General features: G+C 35.9%; 1 protein-coding gene across 19 annotated transcripts in view; it reads left to right on the top strand.

The window, feature by feature from the left end:
* Positions 1-23,155, top strand: part of FYB2 (FYN binding protein 2) — a 108,126-nt gene extending 84,971 nt beyond the window's left edge. For 7 of the 19 annotated variants that reach the window (XM_047448402.1, XM_047448401.1, XM_005270584.4 and 4 more), the window contains 8 exons: positions 1,149-1,247; positions 3,291-3,319; positions 4,797-4,857; positions 15,361-15,447; positions 18,263-18,356; positions 21,615-21,771; positions 21,889-21,922; positions 22,252-23,155. In XM_047448402.1, coding sequence (XP_047304358.1) covers positions 1,149-1,247; positions 3,291-3,319; positions 4,797-4,857; positions 15,361-15,447; positions 18,263-18,356; positions 21,615-21,771; positions 21,889-21,922; positions 22,252-22,273 — 583 coding nt within the window. In that variant the 3' untranslated portion in view covers positions 22,274-23,155. Of the gene's footprint in view, positions 1-1,148; positions 5,280-9,976; positions 10,131-15,360; positions 15,448-18,262; positions 18,357-21,614; positions 21,772-21,888; positions 21,923-22,251 lie in introns of those variants that run through there. The other 12 variants (XM_047448403.1, XM_047448400.1, XM_011540899.2 and 9 more) reach the window with 10 other exon arrangements.
* Positions 23,156-23,393: the final 238 nt, after the last annotated feature.

The following is a 23,393-nucleotide window of genomic DNA, read 5'->3' as shown; positions in this document are numbered from 1 at the left end:
ATACTATCAATATTAAATCACATTGTTCTCGCTTTTGAGAAATACCCATTTCCCAGAGTAAATGATTTTGATATTGGGTTAGAAAATAAGTAATAAAAGAGATGTAAATATTAATAAAACTTGCTTCAATTTTATAGCTGTTTTTCCAGGAACAAATTAATGGTTATGACTTACCTGTGTCTCTGTAAGTTAGTAAGGCTATCTCCGGGATTTGGGCTTAATATAACATGTAGTGTGATTCAGTGTTATCAAGAATAAAATTTGTTCAGATGGGTATTATTCTACAAGTTTAGTTATTAAGGACATGTTGTGGAAAAGAAAACGGCAATGGTCAAAAGCAAGGAGTTTAAGGGTTCAAGGGGAAAAAGACCCTGAACTGGGCATGCTGGTTGGCACGATGTGGGTATATCATTCCCTCACTCTACCCCCTAAAGGCCCCAAAAGGATATTTGACAGAATTGTAATCATCAGCTGGGTAATCAATGTACCATCACTGCTATATTATTCAGTAAATTAAAAATCAATGATAAGAATTTCAAGAGTCAGGATTTTCTATAACGTATTTCTAGCACAGTTTGTAAAGTACATTTCCCTGAGTTATCTTTTCCTCTAAAGGGAAGACTGCTTCATAAAATCTGCAAAATAGAGATTACTTGCAGTAGTTTGTCTTGAAATATCATTACTCCCTTCATAGTTGACTGGTGTGTGCAACTTCATATCACATCTAAACAAAGAAAAGCATAGAACTCAATAAGGCATCTTCTTGCTCTTTCTTGAGTGAGATGTGTTTTGGACATGAAAACAAAGCCTCTGGTTCTTTATTTTTTTTATGGACTCAGAGGTACCTGTGCAGGTTTGATACATAAATATATTGCCTAATGATGAGGTATGGGCTTCTAGTCTACCCATTACCCAAACAGTGAACATTTACCCAATAGGGAACTTTCCAACCTTCATTCTTCCTCCCACCCTCCCGCTTTTTGGAGTCCCCAGTGTCGGTTATTTCCATCTTTATGACCATGTATACCTATTGTTTAGCTCCCACTTACAAGTGAGAACATGTGGCATTTGATTTTATAATACAACAGCCTTCTATCTCTAGTACTCTCTTAAATGCCATGTTACTTATATCCTGTGATTCCTCTCAGTTTAGATGGAAAAGAAGCACTCAAAAGACTGCAGCAATTCTTCAAGAAAGAAAAGGATAGATTTAAAATAAAGAAAACCAAGTCGAAAGAAAACTTAAGGTAAAAAGTCCCTTTAAATCCCTTTCCACGAGGGGATTAACCTGGTAGATACACAAGTTGATGTTCTCCATCCAATCTCAGAAACAGTGAAGGGGATATCAGAAACTAAAACCAAGGGTCTGGCCATCATCTGCCCCTTTCTTGTGAATTTTTGATTGAACTACATGCACAGAGACTAATTAATGAGAAAGTGGCATGCTCCTTTGAAAAAATGGCAGAGAAAGGGTTGAAAATAAGGGTAGAGGGAAAATCTTAAGCGAAGTCCAGAAAGGAAACTTTCCTCATCAGCCTTAACATCCTATTCCTGTTGTTACCACTAAGCATTACTTACCATGTCCTTTTATGCTTTTGGGGCCCTACAAGCCCCAGTAGTTTTTATTTGTCTACTGTTCCATATTTAATTTATCTCCCTTGAGAGCAGCAATATGTGGAAGGGGGAGATGAGCTGCTCAGCTGAACAGTTCGTGTATTGCAAGGTCTTAGACCTGGAAAAGATCCTCTGAGATAACCTAGGCTAACTGCCAGTTTTGAGAGAGGTTCCAAATTCACTAGCACTAGAAAGAGATGTGAGGGGACCTGGATTCTATATTCTAGTACCAGTTCTGCCATTTATTCCATGTACAACTGTGGGCATATCACTTCCTTTATACACCCACAGCATTCCACTTTTCTCCTGCATATAATGGAAGGGGGACCCTGGAGACGCTTTGCAGGCAATAGATAGATATAGATGTAGATATTCAGGTGCACCTCAATTTATGATGGGGTTGTGTCTCAATAAACTCATTGCAACTCTAAAATATGTTAAGTTAAAAGTCCATTTAATACATCTACCAAACATCATCGCTTAGCCTAGCTCATCTTAAACATGCTTGGAATATTTACATCAGCCTACAGTTGGGCAAAAGCATCTAACACAAAGCCTGTCTATAAAAAGTGTTGACTATCTCATGTAATTTATTGAATACTGTACTGAAAGTGGAAAAAGAATGGTCTTAAGGATACTTGAAGTAGGTTTCTACTGAATGCGTATTGCTTTCACACCACTGTAAAGCAGAAAAATTGGGAGTCAAACCATTGTAAGGCTGGGAACATCTGTGTAGATATACAGACATAGAGATGTATTTTGTGAGGGCAGAAGATGCTAAAATAATTTGCCCAAGGTAATTACCTATAGTGAGATGGAATTATGTTGTTCTACCCTGAAGTTCTTTTTGATTATAAAGCCTCAGAGTTTTGTGGCTTTAAGTTCAACTGTCAATTGGATCTAGATCTACCAAGAGACCCTACAAAACATGAGGTTTATAAATTGTAGTCCTGATATGGAAGAAGAGGGAGTGTGGTCAGCGAGACCCTATGCACAAAGGCAGACCCTGGCCTTAGCAGATTAGATGTTTTCTGAGAGAAAATTATTGGCATGATAACCGGCAGTCCCATAATATTTGATCAAGATGAGAATGCTAATGTTTTAAATATGCAAATCTGATTACCTTTCTCTCAAAACTATTCATTGGCTACATACTACGTTTAGAATAAATATCCAGTTCCTTACCCTGGCAAGTAAATACTTCATGGCTGTCCCCATTCTACTTCTCTAGTTCTGTCTCTCACTAAAATTACTCTCACTACCATCCCATCCACATAGCTATAGATCTCAGACTCTGCCATGGTGTCTCATGCCTCCATGCTTTGAACATGACATTCTCATGGTCTGGAATGTACCTGCCCTCCTCCAGCCTTCTTTTGTTCTCAAAGTTCTAGTTTTCCCTTAAAATTCGATCAAATATTGTCCCTTATTGAATGTCTCCCCTGAACTTCTCTTCCCAAACCTGGATTACCCATTTCCTTTGTGTTCCCATAACATCTTGTGCACATCTTGTGACATCTGTTAATACCAGAGAAACTATTTTTACTTGGAGTCAGAGAATACCAGGGCAAGAAGGGCAATCCAGCATCATCAATATGTTATTGGAGATCTGTCAGCTCATCTTTCCAAACATGGTTTTTTTCCTTAACTCTTTTGTGTCTTTTGTCAATCAACAGTGCATTTTCCATTTTGCTGCCTGATTTAGGTAAGTGCCATTTGCTTATTGCAGACCAAAAGTACTCAGCTTTTGTATATTCAGAGGCAGGGAAAGAGAAATGGTAACCCTTCCTGCATTCCCACATTTGATGAAAAATTGCTCTACCAAAATCAAAGAAGATGTTTCACACGGAAGTATTTTTTTACTTTGGAGAAGATGAGTAGTGTTTCTCAAGTACCTACTACATACCATGCCCTGGGGCAGATGTGTTCCTCTTAAAATCCCAGAAAAATAAATGTTATCATCCCTTTTTAGAGAAGCTGTAGGACCATATTTAAGTGATCCAGGATTTGTATTCCAGGCTCTCTGACTATGAAACTCATGCATTTTGCATTCTACCATACTGCCTTTTGAAGGACTTGATATCCTTCATCCTAATTAAGACACTAACTGAATATGATCACATTGCCACCAGCAAACTAACTGAATTGAGAATGGATCATTGGAATGTTGTTTGCTTTTCCATTAAAATAATAGTGCATAAATTAGCACGGTGCTTGACACATAGTAGGCTGTCAATACACGTTCAGTACATTGAATTTGTCAATAAAAGAGGGTCATGTGTTCTGTTGTTTGTTAGTTTTTGTTTAGGGGTTCTAGCTATGTGGCTACCTGGATGTCACTCGAACTTGACAATTCAAAAGTATATTATATTTCATAAATATGAGTTTGCTGAACTAAAAGACAAATGACAATTATATATACCTGATAAAATCCCACATCTCAACATATCCTTGGTCTGTGTTTAAAAGAAAAAAGCTGACCTAGAATAGGCATGCATTGTATCCCCACCCACATTTGAAGGTATTTAATAAAATAAGGGAGTGAATAATTATGAATAATTATACTAGAAGGTCTCAAACTTGTTCAGTGGTGAATCAAATGAAAATCATGTAATTCTATGTAGAGTGCCAAGGAATGTGAATATCCTAAAATGAAAATGCCTAATTATTATTATGCACTGAGTCAGATTCAACATTATGCAAGATTATTGTATAGGAGCAATTGCCAATGATTTGAAATAAAAACCATGGAAGAAAAATCAACATTACTGTTCTATTAAGCTGTTTCTCCCCCCTAGGAGTTAAGAAAAGACCTCTCACTATTCTAGCAGTATAGCATATTTGTTCAATTCCAGAAAGATGGGAACTTAGTCTAAAAATGACTCTTTGAGCAACTCATATTTTTCTGGAACTCTATGTAAAAGCAAATTAATATAAATATATATGTTTTGAGATACTGGGACATCACACTTTTTTTTAATCTTTCAGTTGAATTTCTTCCCAAATAGAGAATATTTTTATTCTTTGATTCTTCTAGCCTATCTGTATTTTATGATCAGATTTTGCTAAAACAGACCTGAAGATGCACCTGGATAATTAGGTAATTGAGTATAATTTGGAAAGTCAGTGCTTATATAAACCATGCTTAATAATGGACTATTTTGATTCTGTCTTGACCCTAGAACTTAAGTCTCAGGAAGTTATTATTTATGATGATGTAGACCTGAGTGAAAAAGAGTCAAAGTAAGTAATTTACCTTATTGGTCATCCCTGCTGATATTTGACCCATTTCCTGATGCTTTCTTAATTATGATCACAGAACCATCTTTTCAGATCCTTGGAGATTGAATGAAAAGTCAACTTAAGATAGTCTTCTCACTAAGAGGGGAAAACACTGAATAACATATATGATCCAAAAGTGGTAGGTGACCACAAAAGGCATTGGAGGTTTTGAGTTTGTTTCTGTTTTTTATTTTTGAATTCAGACTTGAAACTCATTTCAACACATTTTTTAAATTATCTCCAATGTACATGACAACATGAAGGATAGCAAGCACTATGTGACAGAACGTCTGTATTCAAGGACTAAATAACTATAATTTATCAAAAAAGATGGCTGCATGCAGTGGCTCATGCCTGTAATCCCAGCACTTTGAGAGGCAGAGGTAGGTGGATTGCCTGAGTCTAGGAGTTCAAGACAAGCCTGAGAAACATGGCAAAATCCCATCTCTACTAAACTAGCCAGGCATGGTGGCACATGCCTGTAGTCCCAGCTATTCAGGAGGCTGAAGTGGGAGGATGGCTTGAGCCTTTGAGGCAGAGGTTGTAGTGAGCCGGGATCACACCACTAGACTCCAGCCTGGGCAATGGAGACAGGCTCTGTTCCAAAAAAAAAAAAAAAAAAAGCCATCCTTAAGTTTGATGCTCCCTCTCCAGTCACTTATTATTTATACTTTCCCTCTTAATCAATTGGTTAAAAATAAAAGTCTCCTCTCTTCATGTTTGATTCATCTTTCCTTGCTCACTGCAATTAGGTTTCCTATTATACAATTGAACTTATTTTTGGTAAGGTCACTAATAACTCCTTTGTTAAATCCAACAGATACTTTTAAGCCTTTATTTGTCTTCTCTATATCTTAAAATATGAACTATGCCATCCTCCAAAGGAAAAAAAATACTAGTTTTTCCCTAGGTTTCTATGTTATTATTTCTTTGTTATTTGATGTTATTTTTAAGTTGACATATAATAATTGTACATATTTTCCAGGTAGATAGTGATGTTTTGATACACAAAATATATAGTGATAAGATAAAGGTAATTAGCATATTCATCATCAAACATTTATCATTTCTTTGTGTTGGGAATATTCAATATCTCCCTTCTAGCTATTTAAAACTATATGATATATTATTGTTAACTATAGTCATCCTATGGTAGTTGTATTAGCCCATTTTTACACTGCTATAAAGAAATACCTGAGACTAGGTAATTAATAAAGGAAAGAAGCTTAATTGACTCGCAGTTCCGCGTGGCTGGTGAGGCCTCAGGAAACTTACAATCATGGCAGAAGGGGAAGAGGCACATATTACATGGTGGCAGGCAAGAGAGAGAAGAGAAAGTGAAGGGGAAAGAACCCCTTATAAAGCCATCAGAACTCATGAGAACTCATTCACTATAATGAGAACACTATGTAGGAAACTGCCTACACCTCCAGTCACCTCCCTCCCTCGACACATGGGGATTACAATTCAAGGTGAGGTTTAGTGGAGACACAAAGCCTGACCATATCAGTGGTATAGAACACTAGAACATATTCCTCATATCTCACTGTATATTGTATCCTGAACTAATCTCTCTCTATTCCCTACTTTCCCAGCCTTTAGCATCCTCTGTTCTACTCTTTATTTCTATGACAGCAACCTTTCTTAGCTTTCATATATGAGTGAGAACATGTCGTGCTTAACTTTCTATTCCTGGCTTATTTCACTTAACATAATGTCCTCCACTTCTATCCATGTTGCTGTGAATGACATGATTTCATTCTTTTTTATGGCTGAATAGTGCTCTGCCATGTGTATGTTTATCACATTTTCTTTACCATTCATTTGATGTTGGATACCTAAGTTGATTCCATATGTTGGCTATTGCATATAGTGCTGCAATAAACATGGGAGCATAGATGTCTCTTTGATATACTGATTTCATTTCCTTTGGATTAATACCCAGCAATGGAACTGCTGAATCATATGATAGTTCTATTTGTAGTTTTTTAGGAACCTCCATACTGTTATTCATAGGTGCTGTACTATTTATATTCCCACTAAGAATGAAGAGAATTTCCTATTCTCCACATCCTTGCTAGCATGTGATTTTTTTTTTGTCCTTTTGATGAATGCCATCCTAACAGGGATGAAATGATACCTCATTGTGGTTTTGATTTGCATTTCCCTGGTGATTAGTGATGTTGAACATTTTAAAATATGTTTATTGGTCATTTTATTTTATTTATTTTTTATTATACTTTAAGTTCTAGGGTACAAGTGCACAATGTGAAGGTTTGTTACACAGGTATACATGTGTGCCATGTTGGTTTGCTGCACCCATCAACTCATCATTTACATTAAGTATTTCTCCTAATGCTATCCCTCCCCCAGCCCCTCACCGCCTGACAAGCCCCAGTGTGTGATGTTCCCCACCCTGTGTCCAAGTGTTCTCATTGTTCAATTCCTACCTATGAGTGAGAACATGCGGTGTTTGGTTTCCTATCCTTGTGATAGTTTGCTGAGGATGATGGTTTCCAGCTTCATTCCATGTCCCTGCAAAGGACATGAACTCATCCTTTTTATGGTTGCATAGTATTCCATTGTGTATATGTGCCATGTTTTCTTAATCCAGTCTATCATTGATGGACATTTGGGTTGGTTCCAAGTCTTTGCTATTTAAAAGACACAGACTGGCAAATTGGATAGAGAGTCAAGACCCATCAGTGTGCTGTATTCAGGAGACCCATCTCATGTGCAAAGACACACATAGGATCAAAATAAAGGGATGGAGGAAGATCTACCAAGAAAATGGAAAGCAAAAAAAGCAGGGGTTGCAATCCTAGCGTCAGATAAAACAGACTTTAAACCAACAAAGATCAAAAGACACAAAGAAGGCCATTACATTATGGTAAAGGGATCAATTCAACAAGAAGAGCTAACTATCCTAAATATATATGCACCCAATACAGGAGCACCCAGATTCATAAAGCAAGTCCTTAGGGACCTACAAAGAGACTTAGACTCCCACACAATAATAATGGGAGATTTTAACACCCCACTGTAAATATTAAACAGATCAATGAGACAGAAGGTTAAAAAAGATATCCAGGACTTGAACTCAGCTCTGCACCAAGTGGACCTAATAGACATCTACAGAACTCTCCACCCCAAATCAACAGAATATACATTATTCTCAGCACCACATCGCACTTATTCTAAAATTAATCACATAATTGGAAGTAAAGCACTCCTCAGCAAATGTGAAAGAACAGAAATCATAACAAACTGCCTCTCAGACCACAGTACAATCAAATTAGAACTCAGGATTAAGAAACTCATTCAAAACTGCACAACTGCATGGAAACTGAACAACTTGTTTCTGAATGATTACTGGGTAAATAAAGATGTTCTTTGAAACCAATGAGAACAAAGACACAACGTACCAGAATCTCTGGGACACATTTAAAGCAGTGTGTAGAGGGAAATTTATACCACTAAATGCCCACAAGAGAAAGAAGGAAAGATCTAAAATCGACACCCTAACTTCACAATTAAAAGAACTAGAGAAACAAGAGCAAACAAATTCAAAAGCTAGCAGAAGGCAAGAAATAACTAAGATCAGAACAGAACTGAAGGAGATAGAGACACACAAAAAAACCTTCAAAAAATCAATGAATCCAGGAGCTGGTTTTTTGAAAAGATCAACAAAATTGATAGACCACTAGCAAGACTAATAAAGAAGAAAATAGAGAAGAATCAAATAGATGCAATAAAAAATGATAAAGGGGATATCACCACCAATCCCACAGAAATACAAACTACCATCAGAATACTATAAACACCTCTACCCAAATAAACTATTGGTCATTTTAATGTCATCTTTTGAGAAATGTCTGTTCATTTGCCCATTTTTTAATTGAATTTTTTTTTCTGTTTTGCTGTTTGAGTTCCTTGTATATTCTGGATATTAATCACCTGTCAGATTAATAGTTTGTGAATATTTTTCTCCATTCTGTAAGTTGTCTTTTCACTCTGTTGATTGTTTCTTTTACTGTGCAGAAGCTTTTTAGATTGCTGAAATCCCATTTGTTGATTTTTGCTTTGTTACTTGTGCTACTGAGGTCTTAGTCATAAAACCTTTTCCTAGACCAATGTCCTGAAGTGTTTCCCCTGTTTTCTTCTAATAGTTTTAGAGGTTTGGGCCTTACATTTTAAGTCTTTGATCTATTTTTGTTTGATTTTTGTATAGTGTAAGTGGTGGGTGGGGGGGTCTAGTTTTATTCTTCTGTATATGGATATCCAGTTTTCCTAGCACCATTTACTGAAAAGACTGTACTTCCCCCATTGAGTGTTCTTGGAGTTTTTGTCAAAAGCAGTTGGCTGTAGATACATGGATTAATTTCTGGGTTATCTATTCTGTTCCATTGGTTTGTGTGTCTGTTTTATGCCAACACTGTGCTGTTTTGATTACTAGAGCTTTGTAGAATGTTTTGAAGTCTGGTACTGTGCTTTATACAGATTTGTTCTTTTGCTCAGAATTGCTTCAGCTACTTGGGGTCTTTTGTGATTCCATACAAATTCTAAGATTGTGTTTTCTATTTCTGTGAAGAAAGGCATTGGTATTTTGATGGGGATTGCATTGAATCTGTAGATTGCCTTGGGTAATATGGTCATTTTAACAATATTAATTCTTCCAATCTATGAGCATGAGATGTCCTTCCATTTGTTTACATCATCTACAATTTATTTCATCAGTGTTGTGTCATTTTCTTTGTAGAAGTCTTTCACCTCCTTGGCTAAATTTATTCCTATGTATTTTTGTTTTTTGCAGCTATTATAAACCAGATTGCCTTCTTGATCTCATTTTCAGCTAGTTCATTGTTCATGTATAGAAACGCTACTAATTTTTATATGTTGATTTTGTATCCTAAAACTTTACTGAATTTATCAGTTCTAAGAGTCTCTTGGTAAAGTTGTTAGATTTTTCTAGATATAAGATCATGTCGTCTGCAAACAGGGGCAATTTTACTTCCTCCTTTCTCATTTTGATGTCCTTTATTTCTTTCTCTTGCCTCATTGATCCTGCTGGAACTTCTAGTACTTTGTTGAATAAGAATGGAGAGAGTGGGCATCCATGTCTTATTCCAGAAAAGCTGGAAGCTTTTCCCTGTTAGGTAAGATGTTAGCTGTGGGTTTGTTATATATGGCCTTTATTATGTTGAGGTACTTTTCTTCTATGCCTAATTTATTGAGAGCTTTTATTATGAAAGGATGTTGAATTTTGACAAATGCTTTTTCTGCATCTATTGAAATTATCATATGGTTTTGTTCTTCATTCTGTTGCAGTGATGTTTCACATTTATTGATTTGCCTATGTTGAATGACCCAACTTTGTTGACTGCAGGCATGTTCCTGGTGGTCTGATTGATGGGCATCAATATGACCATGGAGGGGATGATGGCTAGAGAATTTCCGGCTTCACATGATGAAGCCAGTGATTCATGAGCTGAGCTGAAATCTCCCCAGCCTGATACTTCCCTTTCTATCACAGTAACCCTCCATGATAGATTAGAATGGTTCCCAGTTGGCCAGGTGCAGTGGCTCATGCCTCTAAACCTAGCTCTTTGGGAGGCAGAAGTGGGAGGATTGCTTGAGCTCAAGAGTTTGAGACCAGCCTGGGCAACATAGTGGGACCCCATCTCTATTTTTATAATTTAAAAAAATATTTTAAATTGTCTCAGATGATAACATCAAGGCTAAGGGTAACTAACTTGTCCACGCTATTGAGTACAGAGGTAGGTCTGAGATCCAGGTGGCCTGCCCCCAAGCCAGCGATCTTTCCTGCCACCTACCCTCTTTCTGGGGATGTGCTCACCAAGTGAGCCCAGGGGTCAGTGTGTGAGGCTACAGAGGAACAGCAGCCTGGTTGTGTGCAGGAAGGATGTCCTGGGAGTGAGTTGGGTTTTTTTGTTTTGTTTTGTTTTGTTTTTGTAACAGGGTCTCACTCTGTCACTCAGGCTGGAGTGCAGTGGTGGCATGATCATGATTCACTGCAGCCTTGACTTCCTGGGCTCAGGGATATATCCCACTAATATGTTCTTGCATTTCTGGGATATATCACACTACATCATGGTGTATTATCTTTTTGATGTGCTGTTGTATTGAGTTTGCTAATATTTTGTTGAAGATTTTTGTGTCTATGTTCATCAGGGATATCGACCTGTAATTTTCTTTTTCGTATCCTTGTCTGCTTTTGGTATCAGGGTTATGCTGGCCTCATAGAATGAGTTAGGAAGAGTTCATTCTGCTTCAATGTTTTGGAATAGTTTGAGAAGATTTGGTATTAATTCTTTTTTAAAGGTTCAGTAGAATTCAGCAGGGAAGCCATCTAGTCCTAGACTTTTCTTTTTTGGGAGACTCTTTATTACTGATTCAATCTCATCACTTTTATTGGTCTTTTCAAGTTTTTTAATTTTTTCTTGGTTCAATCTCAGTAGGTTGTATATTTCCATGAATTTAGCTATTTCCTCCAGGTTTTCCCATTTGTTAGCAGATAGTTGCTCACAGTGGTCTCTAAGTAATGTCTCTTTTTTCACTTTGACTTTATTTACCTGAACTTGCCATCCCCTCCCTCTCCCCCTCCCCTCCCTCTCCTCCTTCCCCTCCCCTCCACTTCCCTTTACCTTTCCCCCTCTCCTCCCGTTTACCTTTCCTTCTCCCCTTCCCTCTCCCCTCCCCTCCTCCCTCCCCTCCCCTCTCCTTCTCACCCCATCTCTCTCTCTAGTCTAGGTAATGGTTTGTCAATTTTGTTTCTTTTCAAAACACCAGCTTTTTGTTTCATTGATCTTTTGTATTTTTTATCTAAATTTTGTTTATGTCAGCTTTGATCTTTATTATTTCTTTTCTTCTACTAACTTTGGATTTGGTTTGTTCTTCCTTTTCTAATTCTTTGAGACAAATCATTAGATTGTTTTTTGAAATCTTTCTAGTTTTTGATGTAGGCATTTATTGCTATAAACTTGCCTCTTAATATTGTTTTTGCTGTGTCCTATAAGTTTGATATGTTGTGTTTCTATTTTCATTTGTTTCAAAGAATTTTTAAGTATTATCCTTAATTTCTTCCTTCACCCATTGGTTGTTCAGGAGCATGTTGTTTAATTTCCATATATTTGTTTAGTTTCAAATGTTCCTCTTGTTATTGATGTTTAGTTTTAATCCACTGTGCTCAGATGAGATACTTGATATGATTTTGATTTTTAAAAACTTGTTGATACTTGTTTTGTGTCCTAACTTATGAACAGTTCTGGAGAATGTTCCATTAATAATGAAAAGAATGTGTACTATACAGAACATGAGTAACATGTTCTGTAGATGTCTATTAAGTTCTGTAGATGTCTGTTAAGTCCATTTGGTCTATGGTGCAGTTTAAATAGGATGTTTGCTGTTTTTCTTTCTAGATAATCTGCTTAGAGTTGGATGTTGAAGTCTCCCAACTATTATTGTATTGAGGTGTATCTCTCCCTTTTGACCTAATAATATTTGCTTTATATATCTGGGTGCTCCAGTGTTGGGTCCACTGAAGATGGAGCCCCAAATCTGGTCCTTTTGATCTCTATGTTGGTGACTGTTTCAATAAACACACAGTTGCTCAGGCTGAAACCCTAGGTTATCTGTTATTCCTTCTCCTCTTGTGCCTTTCCCTTCCCATCACTCTCTTCCAATAACTCAAACTGTTCCCACTTTTCCCATCCCCAATGCACAGCCACAATTCAGTCTTATTGTTTCTCAACCAGATTACTACAACTCCCTGAATGGCCATCTTACCTCCATTTCAGTTTATTCTCCAAACTTTCTTAAGTGCAAATGTGACCACCTGCCACCCAACAGCTGAAAACTGTTTGGTGGTTAACCATCACTTTCAGAATGAAGTCAAAACTGCTTAGGAAGACATAAAATTTATTCATAATCCAGCCCCTGGCAACCTCTTAGCCTCGCCTGTTCTTCCTGCTTACCCACTATTCCTGTGTTCCATCCATACTGTACTACTTGGAGTTCCTTAGACCGGATATGCTGTCCAGCATTTCCAAACCTTCACATTTGTTCCAACTTCATCAATTCATTCAACAAATATTTATTGAACATGTCCTTTGTGCAAGGCACTGTGCTAGGTGTTGGGTATAGAGCAGTGAACAAAAGAGATATAATTCCTACTCCTGTGGGCTTAGAGTGACTAAATCAATAAACAAATGAAAAAATAAGTCTATAATTACACATTGGAATTTGGTTGCTTTGAAACAGGATTTTTTGAAAGAGAGTGGATATAGGGTTTGTGATGGTAGGGGTTTTAAAGTATGGATAGCAGTGGAAAGCCTCTTCAAGAAGGTGATAATTTAAGAAGAAAAGAATAGTTCTACCTGTAACACACTTTGCCATGTTTTTTGCCTGGCTATTTTATCCCTCGTTATTTAAAATTGAATTCAGATTTCACTTTTTCTAAGAAGCCCTGTCTAACTTTATCTATTTAAGTTAGGTACTCCCTTTTTTATCAAGATATTTTTCTCAGAATTGTAATGGTCTGTTTTCTTGACTTTCTCATCTGCTAGACTGGGAACTCTTTGAGGTAGGGACTGTGGCTTTCATATCTGTATCACGTGCCTGATACCAAAACATAATTTGATAAATTAGTTAACAAAGAAGGACCTGCTATAAAAATGTGCAAGATAACCTGGAAGCTCAGAATAGGTACGCATTACTGTTATTTAGGCGATCAAAAATCTTTGTGCCAAGCTGAAACAGGAAAGACAGGTAACGTTTTGACAGGTGAAGACTGGGAGCAAAAGAAGATGAGAGAAAAGGGAGGGGTAAGAGGGGGAGTAGACAACTGTAAATGGAAAACACTTGTGTTTGGGAAGTTGTGTTGGACCATAAGGCATATATGATCAGGAAAGTGGTGTTACAAACAGGAAATGTAATTTGGCATAAGATGGAAGAGAACCCTGAAATATCAAGTTAGGGTAAGGAATAAATTCTTTTTCTCTTTTGTTTGAGATGAGGTCTTACTATGTTGCCCAGGTTGAAATGCAGTGGCTATTCACAGGCGTGATCATAGCACACTGCACTTTGAGCTCCTGTCTCAAGCAATCCTCTCACTTCAGCCTCCAAGTAGCTGGAACTACAAGTGCATAGCACTGAATCTGGATAAATTCTTTTTCTTAAAAAATCATTTGTAAAAATCAAAAGAAAACAAAAAGTTGTAAAGCATGGTAAAACATGGTAAAACGAATTGCCCTGAACCTATCATTCGACTTAAGAACTAGAACATAACCAATACCTTGGCCTCTTTCCCTTGTATACTTCATGTATCCTTTCCCTCAAGGTGACTGTTCTCATAAATTTGGTGTTTTCATTTCCTTGTTCAAAATAAAAATAGTTTTAACAAACATATGATACAAATATTGTTTCATTTGGGATTTGAACATTATGAAAATGAGACACTGTATATAGAGTTATGTAACTTTTTTATTCAAATATAATATTTCATTTTTCCTTTCATTTTAATGTTCTATAGTATTCCATTGTATGTGTATACCATAATTCATTTATCCATTCGATTGTTGATAAGTATTGAGGTAGATCCTAATTTGGGGCCCTTACAAATAATACTGCCACAGATATTCTTACAGCTCCTGTGAATGTGTGCAGGAATTTTTCTAGAAGATATACTTAGAAGGGGAAAAAATGCAAATTATAGGGAATGCAAATTCATAAGAAAATGCCAACTTGTTTTCCAAAGTGGTCATACCACTATGATTATCCATTTCATTCTCTCTGCTCATCCATTTCCTCCCTTGTACTGTAAAACTTTGAGTGATCAGTTTAAAGGATTGTTGCAATACTTACTTTGAAAACCAAATGAGTTAACATATGTAAGATGCTTAGCATAAGACCTGACACATACATGCTAAAAAGTACTAGTTCTTTCTATAATAAATACCTTCTCCCTTCCCTGCATTCTCTTTTGCCTGGAATCACTAATGTTACATGCTAGTTGGCTTAGCCTTGTTTCACAATGGAGTTCAGTTACATTGTTCATATTTTAGAGGCAAAAAAAAAAACAAAACAAAACTGAGGCTCATAAAGGAGATGAAATGTGATTATAAGCAGGCTGATCTCTTGCATCTGGATTCAAATTTGGATTACCACACATCAGGGGTCAGCAAACTATGGCCTGAGGACCAAATATGGCCTGCCACTTGTTTCTGTGTATAAAGTTGCAACAGTAGAGTTGAAGAGCTGCCATAGAGATAATATGGCCTGCAAAGCCTAAAATATTTATTATATGGCCTTTCCATGGATTATCAAAATATATTTCTAGATGACTTTTTAATTTTTTGTAAAACATAATTGCCCATGAAGTGTTGATGGTTCCATGAATATATAATTCAGTCTTAATTTACTTGCTCAAAATATATTTCTCCTCAGAGATGAAGATAAACTGAAAATGTGGAAGCCCAAGTTTCTGACACCAAAGGAAAAAAAAGAGAAAAACGGTGCTGAAGAATCAGAAAGGTGGGAACACAGAGGCACTTCTATTATAGCTTATCTGCTGCAATTTATACCTCTTACTAGCTGTGTGGCCTCAGATAAGTAATGAAATTTGATTCTCAGCTGTTTCATCTACAAGATGAGAATAACAACACCTACATCATGGTACAGTTGAGAGGATTAAAAGGGACAAAGAATATAAAAATATTAAGTGTCATACCCATGTATCTTCATCATCTTCCTCCCTACTTTTGGTGGATAGGAAGTGAGAGATTTCAAGTAAGCCATTTTCAAACAATGACAAATTTCCAGTTTTCTTTTAGGTGTAAGAACTTCCCTCTCTAAGATATAATGTAAATAAAACACTAATTAGAACTTAAATGTAACTTTGAGAAAAAAAAAGTTAGGTATCATATAGTAAGACTAATTTCCCTAAAATATAATTCTAGTTATGACTACAATTAGTGTTAGAATTTTACAAGAAAATGTTTTACTGAGTCAAGATCTAACCTGCATTCATGTAATTAAATTTCCCAAGTGGTTGTGAGAGGATGTTTTTACTGAGGCAGGTGGTTACTTACTGCTCTCTGATCCCATCTTCTCAATTGCTAGGACATGGGGCAGGATATGAGGTACTTTCTCTACAAATGACTTGGGGAAATATTTGCTTAAATAGTCACTGACATGTGAACATTGTGTAGTCTGTCTGCTCTGGGAAACCTGTTAGAAAAGTCCTACTGGGGTGCACCAAAGGAAACCAGACATTAGTGTCTGAGATTCAGAGGATGGCATTGGATGGCCCTTCTCGTAAGTTTATTTTCTTTAAGTTTAGACTTGATGTAATTTATTTTTCTCAGGCTGGAAAGATGTATTAACAGACTAGAAAAGCAGCTTTCTATCTTAAACTTCATACTTTTACATACATTTGCACAGCATAACAAAACAGAATTCCAAGAGATGAACTATTAGTAACATTTTTGATCTGCCCCCCAAAAAGCTTTTTAGTATGTTGATAACTACAAATAAGTCTTCTTAGGAAACAATTTTCCAGTGCCTTTTTATTTTTTTACAACAGAGTGATATAACAGTATAATTTTATTCTGAACCAAGTAAATTAGAAAACATTACTGTAAGGCTAGTTATTTCTGTATCAATTTCTGTATCATTTTTAAAATGATTTCTACCATAATGTATTCTAACAGTAAGTAAGAAGTATTAGTTCAACCCTTTTATTATTCTTTTATCAATCAAAGATGATGGCAAGTTTAAAGAAAAGTTGGCTAAGGTTATCTGTCTTAGTCTGTTTGTGTTGCTATAAAGGAACACCTGAGGCTGGGTAATTTATAAAGAAAAGAGGTTTATTTAGTTCATGGTTCTGTAGACTGTACAAGAAGCATGACATTGGCATCTGCTTCGGTGAAGGCCTCAGGCTGCTTCTACTCATGGCAGAAGGTGAAGGAGAATGTGCAGACATCACATGGCTATAAAGGAAGAGAGACAGACAAGTGAGGTGCCAGGCTCATTTTAACAAATGAGATGCCAGGCTCTAGGAAACTGTGAGAGTGGTAACTCACTCATTACCAAGAGGACAGTAGCAAGCCATTCATGAGGGAGACAACCCCATGACCCAAACATCTCCCATTAGGCCCCACCTCCAACATTAGGGACCAAATGTCAACATGAGGTTTGGAGGAATCAAATATCCAAACCATAGCAGTATCCCATGTATAACAGCATGAAAAGGATAACCCACTTTCTAAGATGACCCAAGTAGACATTGTAATGTGTAGGGAAATGGGCAGCTGATGAAGCTGGAAAGATGATCAGGCCAGATTATAAAATGCTAATGAATTTAGACTTTATCCTATTGGCAATAGAGAGAAATTGAAAGGTTTTAAGCAAGAGAGTGACATAACTAAATTTTAGAAAAATGACTCTGCAGGCAGATACACCAATGAATTTGAGGAAGGTGAGGTAAGACGAAGATGGCATCTCAGGCAATAAGTAGTGATAATCTGAAATATGGCAGTGGCTGTAATCTTGGAAATAAACAAATGTAGGGGACACTTAGGAATAAGACTAACAGGACTTGGTTGACTTTTTTACTTCTGTCAATACATTGAACTGCTAAAAAGAAGAACCAAATCTCATGTGAAGAGCAAGAGGGAGGACTAAGAGTATAATCAGCTTCTTCTGTAGGGTTATTTATTTTTAAGTGCTGAAATTCTCACACGTTTTGTGGCATCTTTCTTTATTTTCTTAATGGTATTCATCCTCCAAAACATTCAGCAAACTGGAGAGCTCTTCGATTGAACCATGTAGACTTGTGATCCCCAATTAGGTTTAACAACTTAGAAAACCACACAAAGTAAGCTGCTTACTTATTCTTACTGGTTTCCATTAAATAGTCTGAAGGTGAATGGGAACATTTATAAATTTCCTAAACCTAAAAAAAAGAAAAAGTTATATCTCTAAGTCTCATTCAGACAAGTTTCTTGTTTACCTTCATTTGTTTAACCAATGTGATTTTATCCCGTTATTATCTTGCCATCAAAAATATTTTTTTAATTGTAGCGAAAAGCAATTGACATTACCCTGATCAGTTGTTTGACAATTTGCTCTAATGGAAATATATGTGTGTATTTGTATTATGAACCTACATACGTGTGTGTACATATACACAAATACAGATGCGTGACTTTGTGTATTATTTTATATAAAATTATGATCACAAAAAATTATACCTGAATTTATCCTGAAATGAAGTGACTTCGTAGGCTCAGAAACTTAAAAAGTTTTATTATAGTACGTTTTACCCTACCTGCACATTTCTTGCTAGTTTCTCTCCTAGAAATTTCTTCAAAACCAAGAAGCAAAACTTAGAAAAGAACAGAATGAAAAGAGAAGAAAAACTATTTAGAGAAAGGTTTAAGGTACGTTCTCTTCTGAAGGTAAAAATTAGCAATATTAACAGCTAGGAGCTTTCATTTAAAAAAAAAATCTGTAAGTATGCTGTGCCTCTGCCTCTCTGAGATACAGACATGATCTTTGACACAAAAAGCCAGCATTTCATTCCTATTTTTTCCTGGTACATTTCTATATTGTTATGTCTGTCCATGCTATTCCTTCTTCCTGGAAAAACTCCTAAGTTGTTCTTGAAGGCTCTGTTCAAATGTCACCCACTCCTCCCTAACTCGTCCAGGTTAAGTTACTCCTTCAGCACATTTTATATGTCTATTTTACACGTCTTTTGTAACACTGATTAGTTGTATTAAAGCATTTGTGTGTGTGTGTGCGTGTGTGTGTGTGTGTGTGTCTGTGAATCTTTAATTAATCTCTTGAGTCCTTTTTGAGAAAGAAACCCTGTCTCATTCAAGTTTGTTCCCCAGGGCCTGACATAAAACTGTAAGCACAGTGTTTGGTAAATGAATGCCTAAATAAACAAGCAAATGAATGACAAAATGAACAAATGAATGATGCAGCATCCGAAGCTCTCTGCCTTCTTATTCTGTTATTAAGAGTCCATGGGACATTTTTTCATTATTCTAAAGCTCAAACTTCCCTGATTTCATATATTGTCAAAGTGAGGATTATTAACTATGAAACATACTGAGCACCTTCCATGTGCTAGACACTGGACTGAGAGAGACAAAGTGTGCATCCTCCTCATAGTCACTATGCTGCCTAAAATTTTTCAAAAATTCCCCCTTGCAAAATGGTTAAAGTTTAGGCTTCTTAACATGGCATAGAAAGCTCTTTATGTCCTGATCTTTGCATATCTTCCTGGCTTTATCTCTTGCCACTCTTTGCCTTGCACTTTCTGCTTTGGCAACAAACTGCTCATAGTTCTGTCCCTCGAATGAACCTCCACCTCTATCTTTGTCTTGCTATTTCATCCCTCTAAGTGCTTCCTTGGTCTATTCCAACTCTCTGGTACACCTTTGCACTTTTCTGTATCTGACTAGCTCGTTCATTTATCAAGACCCAGTCGAGGCATCTCCTCTTCTCCAGGAAGACTTGCCCAAATCTTCTAATTAAATAAATTACTCTTCTTCTGTTTACCTATATACTTGAGCAATCTCTAGCTTATCACACATTAAAGTAATTGGAATTACATGTTCATCATATTACACTATGAGCTCCTAGAGGACAATGGTTATTTTATTTATGTTTATATCCATGTGCAGAGCATAATAAGGCTGCTTAGCATTTTGTAAACATGCATAAAATATTTTTTGAGATGAACTAAAATAGGAATGTACACAAATCTCTCATCATCACTGATAATTCCTGTTTGAACCAAAGCTGATTGGGGTTACTATATCTAGAAATTGTGATATGTTATTATCTACTGCAACCCTGATGTTACTTGATTAATTGAAAAACAACAGTGAGGCAATTACTTGTTGAAAAGACCCTTATATTCCATCCAATCCTTTTTTCCACCTCTGTGTGTTTTTTATTGTTTCATGTGTGAAAGATATTCCATTTCCTGTATATGTGTATAATTCCATTCTTATTACCTGTAGTGGGTTTCCTTGATAGGCCATTTCAATAATTTTTGTCCAGCTCAAATCATAAAACGTTGTATAGCTCACTTGTGCCAGGCACTGGGGGTACAAAGATGAATAAGACTGTCTACTATTTTCATTTGATAAGACAGTATGTTATTAAATTCTATAATAGGAATAGATATAAAGCATAGTTAAGACAGTAAATTATATATGGCAGTCATAACAGTCTTCATGTGAAGTGGTTAAGAGACATAAGAGTATTTCAAGTAAACAGCATGTATTCAAGGATTGTCATGTAGCTTGATGCAGCTTCAGTAAAGGGGACAAAGATAGAGGGATGGGGAATGACAGTATGCAATGGACCCCAAATGTCGAGCTAAGCAGTGTGGATCTCATCTTGAAAGCAATAAGGAGTTTTTAGAACTTTGTAAATAGAAGGGTGACCAATTAGATTTGTATTTTAAGAAATCACTATGAATTCACAGTGAGTAATGGCCTGTAAAGGATAAAAAAGCCAGTAAGGAAGCGATTACTTTAAGTAAAGGAAAAATCTGTCTTGTATTTCTGATCTCATTTGGTATAGGTTGATCTTGTAATATATGATCCAAACACAGGACACTTCTAAGAGTGGAAGGAGGCACTCTTAATCATAATAATAAATAGTTATAGATAGATACATTAGTTATAAACAGACAATACCCTGGGCAAAAGGAGATATTTGGTCACACTAATTTGGAGAAGTAGGTACCTGTAATCTAAGCTGCGTATTCTGGAACTATTTATTTGTGGTCAACAGATTTCAGTGCATTAGAAAGTGATGTGCTGCAGATGTATAGGTCAGTTTGTCAGGAAAAGATACCCAAGGTCAGGAATTGAATTTCTCAGGAGTTTCTAACAAAATGCCTGCCTGCCTGTGAATACAAAAGGAGACTGGGAATTGCCCCCAACTGGATACAGTCAATTCCTACTACTTTGAAATAACATGTAGTATAGCTATATATAAGAATACATAAGCTCACACAGAGAAAAAGCATGGAAAGAGTGTCATCTAGAAATGATAGGTATGTAAGAATATTATAAGCTTTAAGGCACTACACAGAGGTTTTAGTAATGGAACAGTTAACTACCATCTATGGTGCTTAATTCATACCTATGTTACAACCTCATCCAGCAGGGCTCATTCTAGTACAATTAAATAACGGTTGTGCAAACACTGGGGTCTGTCTGGGGATAGGGTGCGGGGAGGGAGAGTATTAGAAAGGATGGCTAATGCATGCTGGGCTTAATACCTAGGTGATGGGTTGACAGGTGCAGTAAACCACTATGGCACACATTTACCTATGCAACAAACCTGCACATCCTGCACATGTACCCCATACCTAAAAAGAATAATTTTAAAAAAGATTTGAGAGAAAAAATAATAATAATGGTTGTGAAAACACTTTGAAAGTATAATCATACCAAACAAATGTGAGATTGCACCATTTTACTATTATTTTCTTAAACGACTTTCCTTTAACTGCATACTTTCCTATTTTCTCTTCCTGTATGTGTTATTTAACTAGTCAATAGTATCTTGAGTTAATTTTGAAGTTACTATATTATATCCTCCATTAATTTTGTTATGAAAAATAACAACTATGCAAGAATGGTCTGATTAGTAATTTCTCATTTCAGTACGACAAAGAGATTATTGTCATCAATACAGCAGTGGCCTGTTCCAATAATTCAAGAAATGGAATATTTGATTTGCCAATAAGTCCTGGAGAAGAATTGGAAGTCATTGATACCACCGAACAAAATCTAGTGATATGTCGTAATTCTAAAGGCAAATGTAAGTTTATTTGCTTATCTTTCATAATATTTCATTCTTTTTAAAAAATCTTAAAATGCTTTAAAAAAACATTTTCTCTATAACTTTCAAATTAACGGTGACTTTTGTTTCTATTAGATGGATATGTGCTCATTGAACATCTAGATTTCAAGTAAGCTGTTTGATTTTATACTTTAAATCATGAGTTCCTAATACATTGTTGTATACATTAGTCTCAAGAGAAGACTACTGAATTTATTGAAATTCAGGATAAGTTTTAAAAATTAGACATGCAGTGCCCTATTCTATAAGGATTATGTTGGAAGAGACTTTATTACTGTCTCTCCTGAGTATGCTATCAAACTTCTCTACACAGCTTTATAAACATTTTAAAAGAACACAAACATATTAAACTAGATCAGAAATTCCCTAGAAATCTCCCACTCAACTGTTTCATTGTCCTATATTTTAAAATGTTTGCATATTTTTATTTTTTCACAGGCATCAAAGTTGGTCACCTTAGAAAAATCAAGATCAAATGCTATGGACTGCACAAAGGAGAACTAGTCCTAAGATCCTAGTCCTGCGTTACATCAGTTTCAGTTTACATGTCAAAATTTTGAGATGGTGGAATCTGTGGAAACTTTCGTTCTGAACTTAAAAGAGAAAAATAAAAACAAATCCTCAACATTTAGATGTTGGTTTTACTCCTAAAAGGTTATCTTTCAATGTCTATTTCAGTATCTACTTCACTGTCAGTTCAAGAGAATGTGAAACAGTATGTGTTAGCATTTGAGCACTTATTTAATGAGCCATATCCAAAGTTAGAAATCATGCCTTATGGCACCTAGTCAGTTGTGCAGATGGTTAGTTTGCTTCTAATATTAGTATATGAGCATTTGTAATTTCTAGATGTTGTGCACTCAAACTTGGTATAATTTAATTCTGAACAGTAAACAGTGTAACCAAGGTCTTTTAAATACTCAAGTTTAAGGTATAATCTTAATTATGGCTCAGTCTTTAAAAAAGTATAAATGTCCTTTTACTTTATCACAAAAATAAACTCATATGAATACTGTTCCACATTTGTTTCTTTTGGGAATAGTTTGCAGAAAAATAATTTATTCCTAAATTCACCCATCATTTTAAGAAGTGCCCAAATGTATTTAACAAAATAATATATATGCTGTATTACTTTAAAACATCTTTTTGTCCAAAATAAGAACAATTGTCATTATTTTGTCTATGCCCAAATAACTATTCAAATAATAGCATTCATATGTACTTTCATTTATATGGAATTAAATAAAAATTTAAAAGCTGACATCTATTCTGTTTTTTAAATGAGGTGCACTGCATGTCAATAAGAGAAATAAATTCTACATATGCATTTAACAGTTTAAAATTTTTGAAAGTGGCTTTTTCAGCGCTGAAAAACTGAAGAATTTCACTCAGTTCTTTAAGCAGGGTTATTCTGGCCTTCACAAGTGTGATGGAATTTGTTTCCATGGCCTTGTTCTTTATATTGAGGCCATTTTTTTTTTAAGCTTCTAGGTTCTTTTATCTTCCTTTTCATGTTCCAAATGACATTTGTCAATAAAGGCCAAACTTATTCTAAAAGACAGGAATCAAAGATATTCAAA

Source organism: Homo sapiens, chromosome 1 (assembly GCF_000001405.40).
Source record: "Homo sapiens chromosome 1, GRCh38.p14 Primary Assembly".
Lineage (NCBI taxonomy): Eukaryota > Metazoa > Chordata > Mammalia > Primates > Hominidae > Homo > Homo sapiens.
Note: the sequence above shows the minus strand (reverse complement) of the source record. Positions and strands in the feature narration are given on the sequence as shown.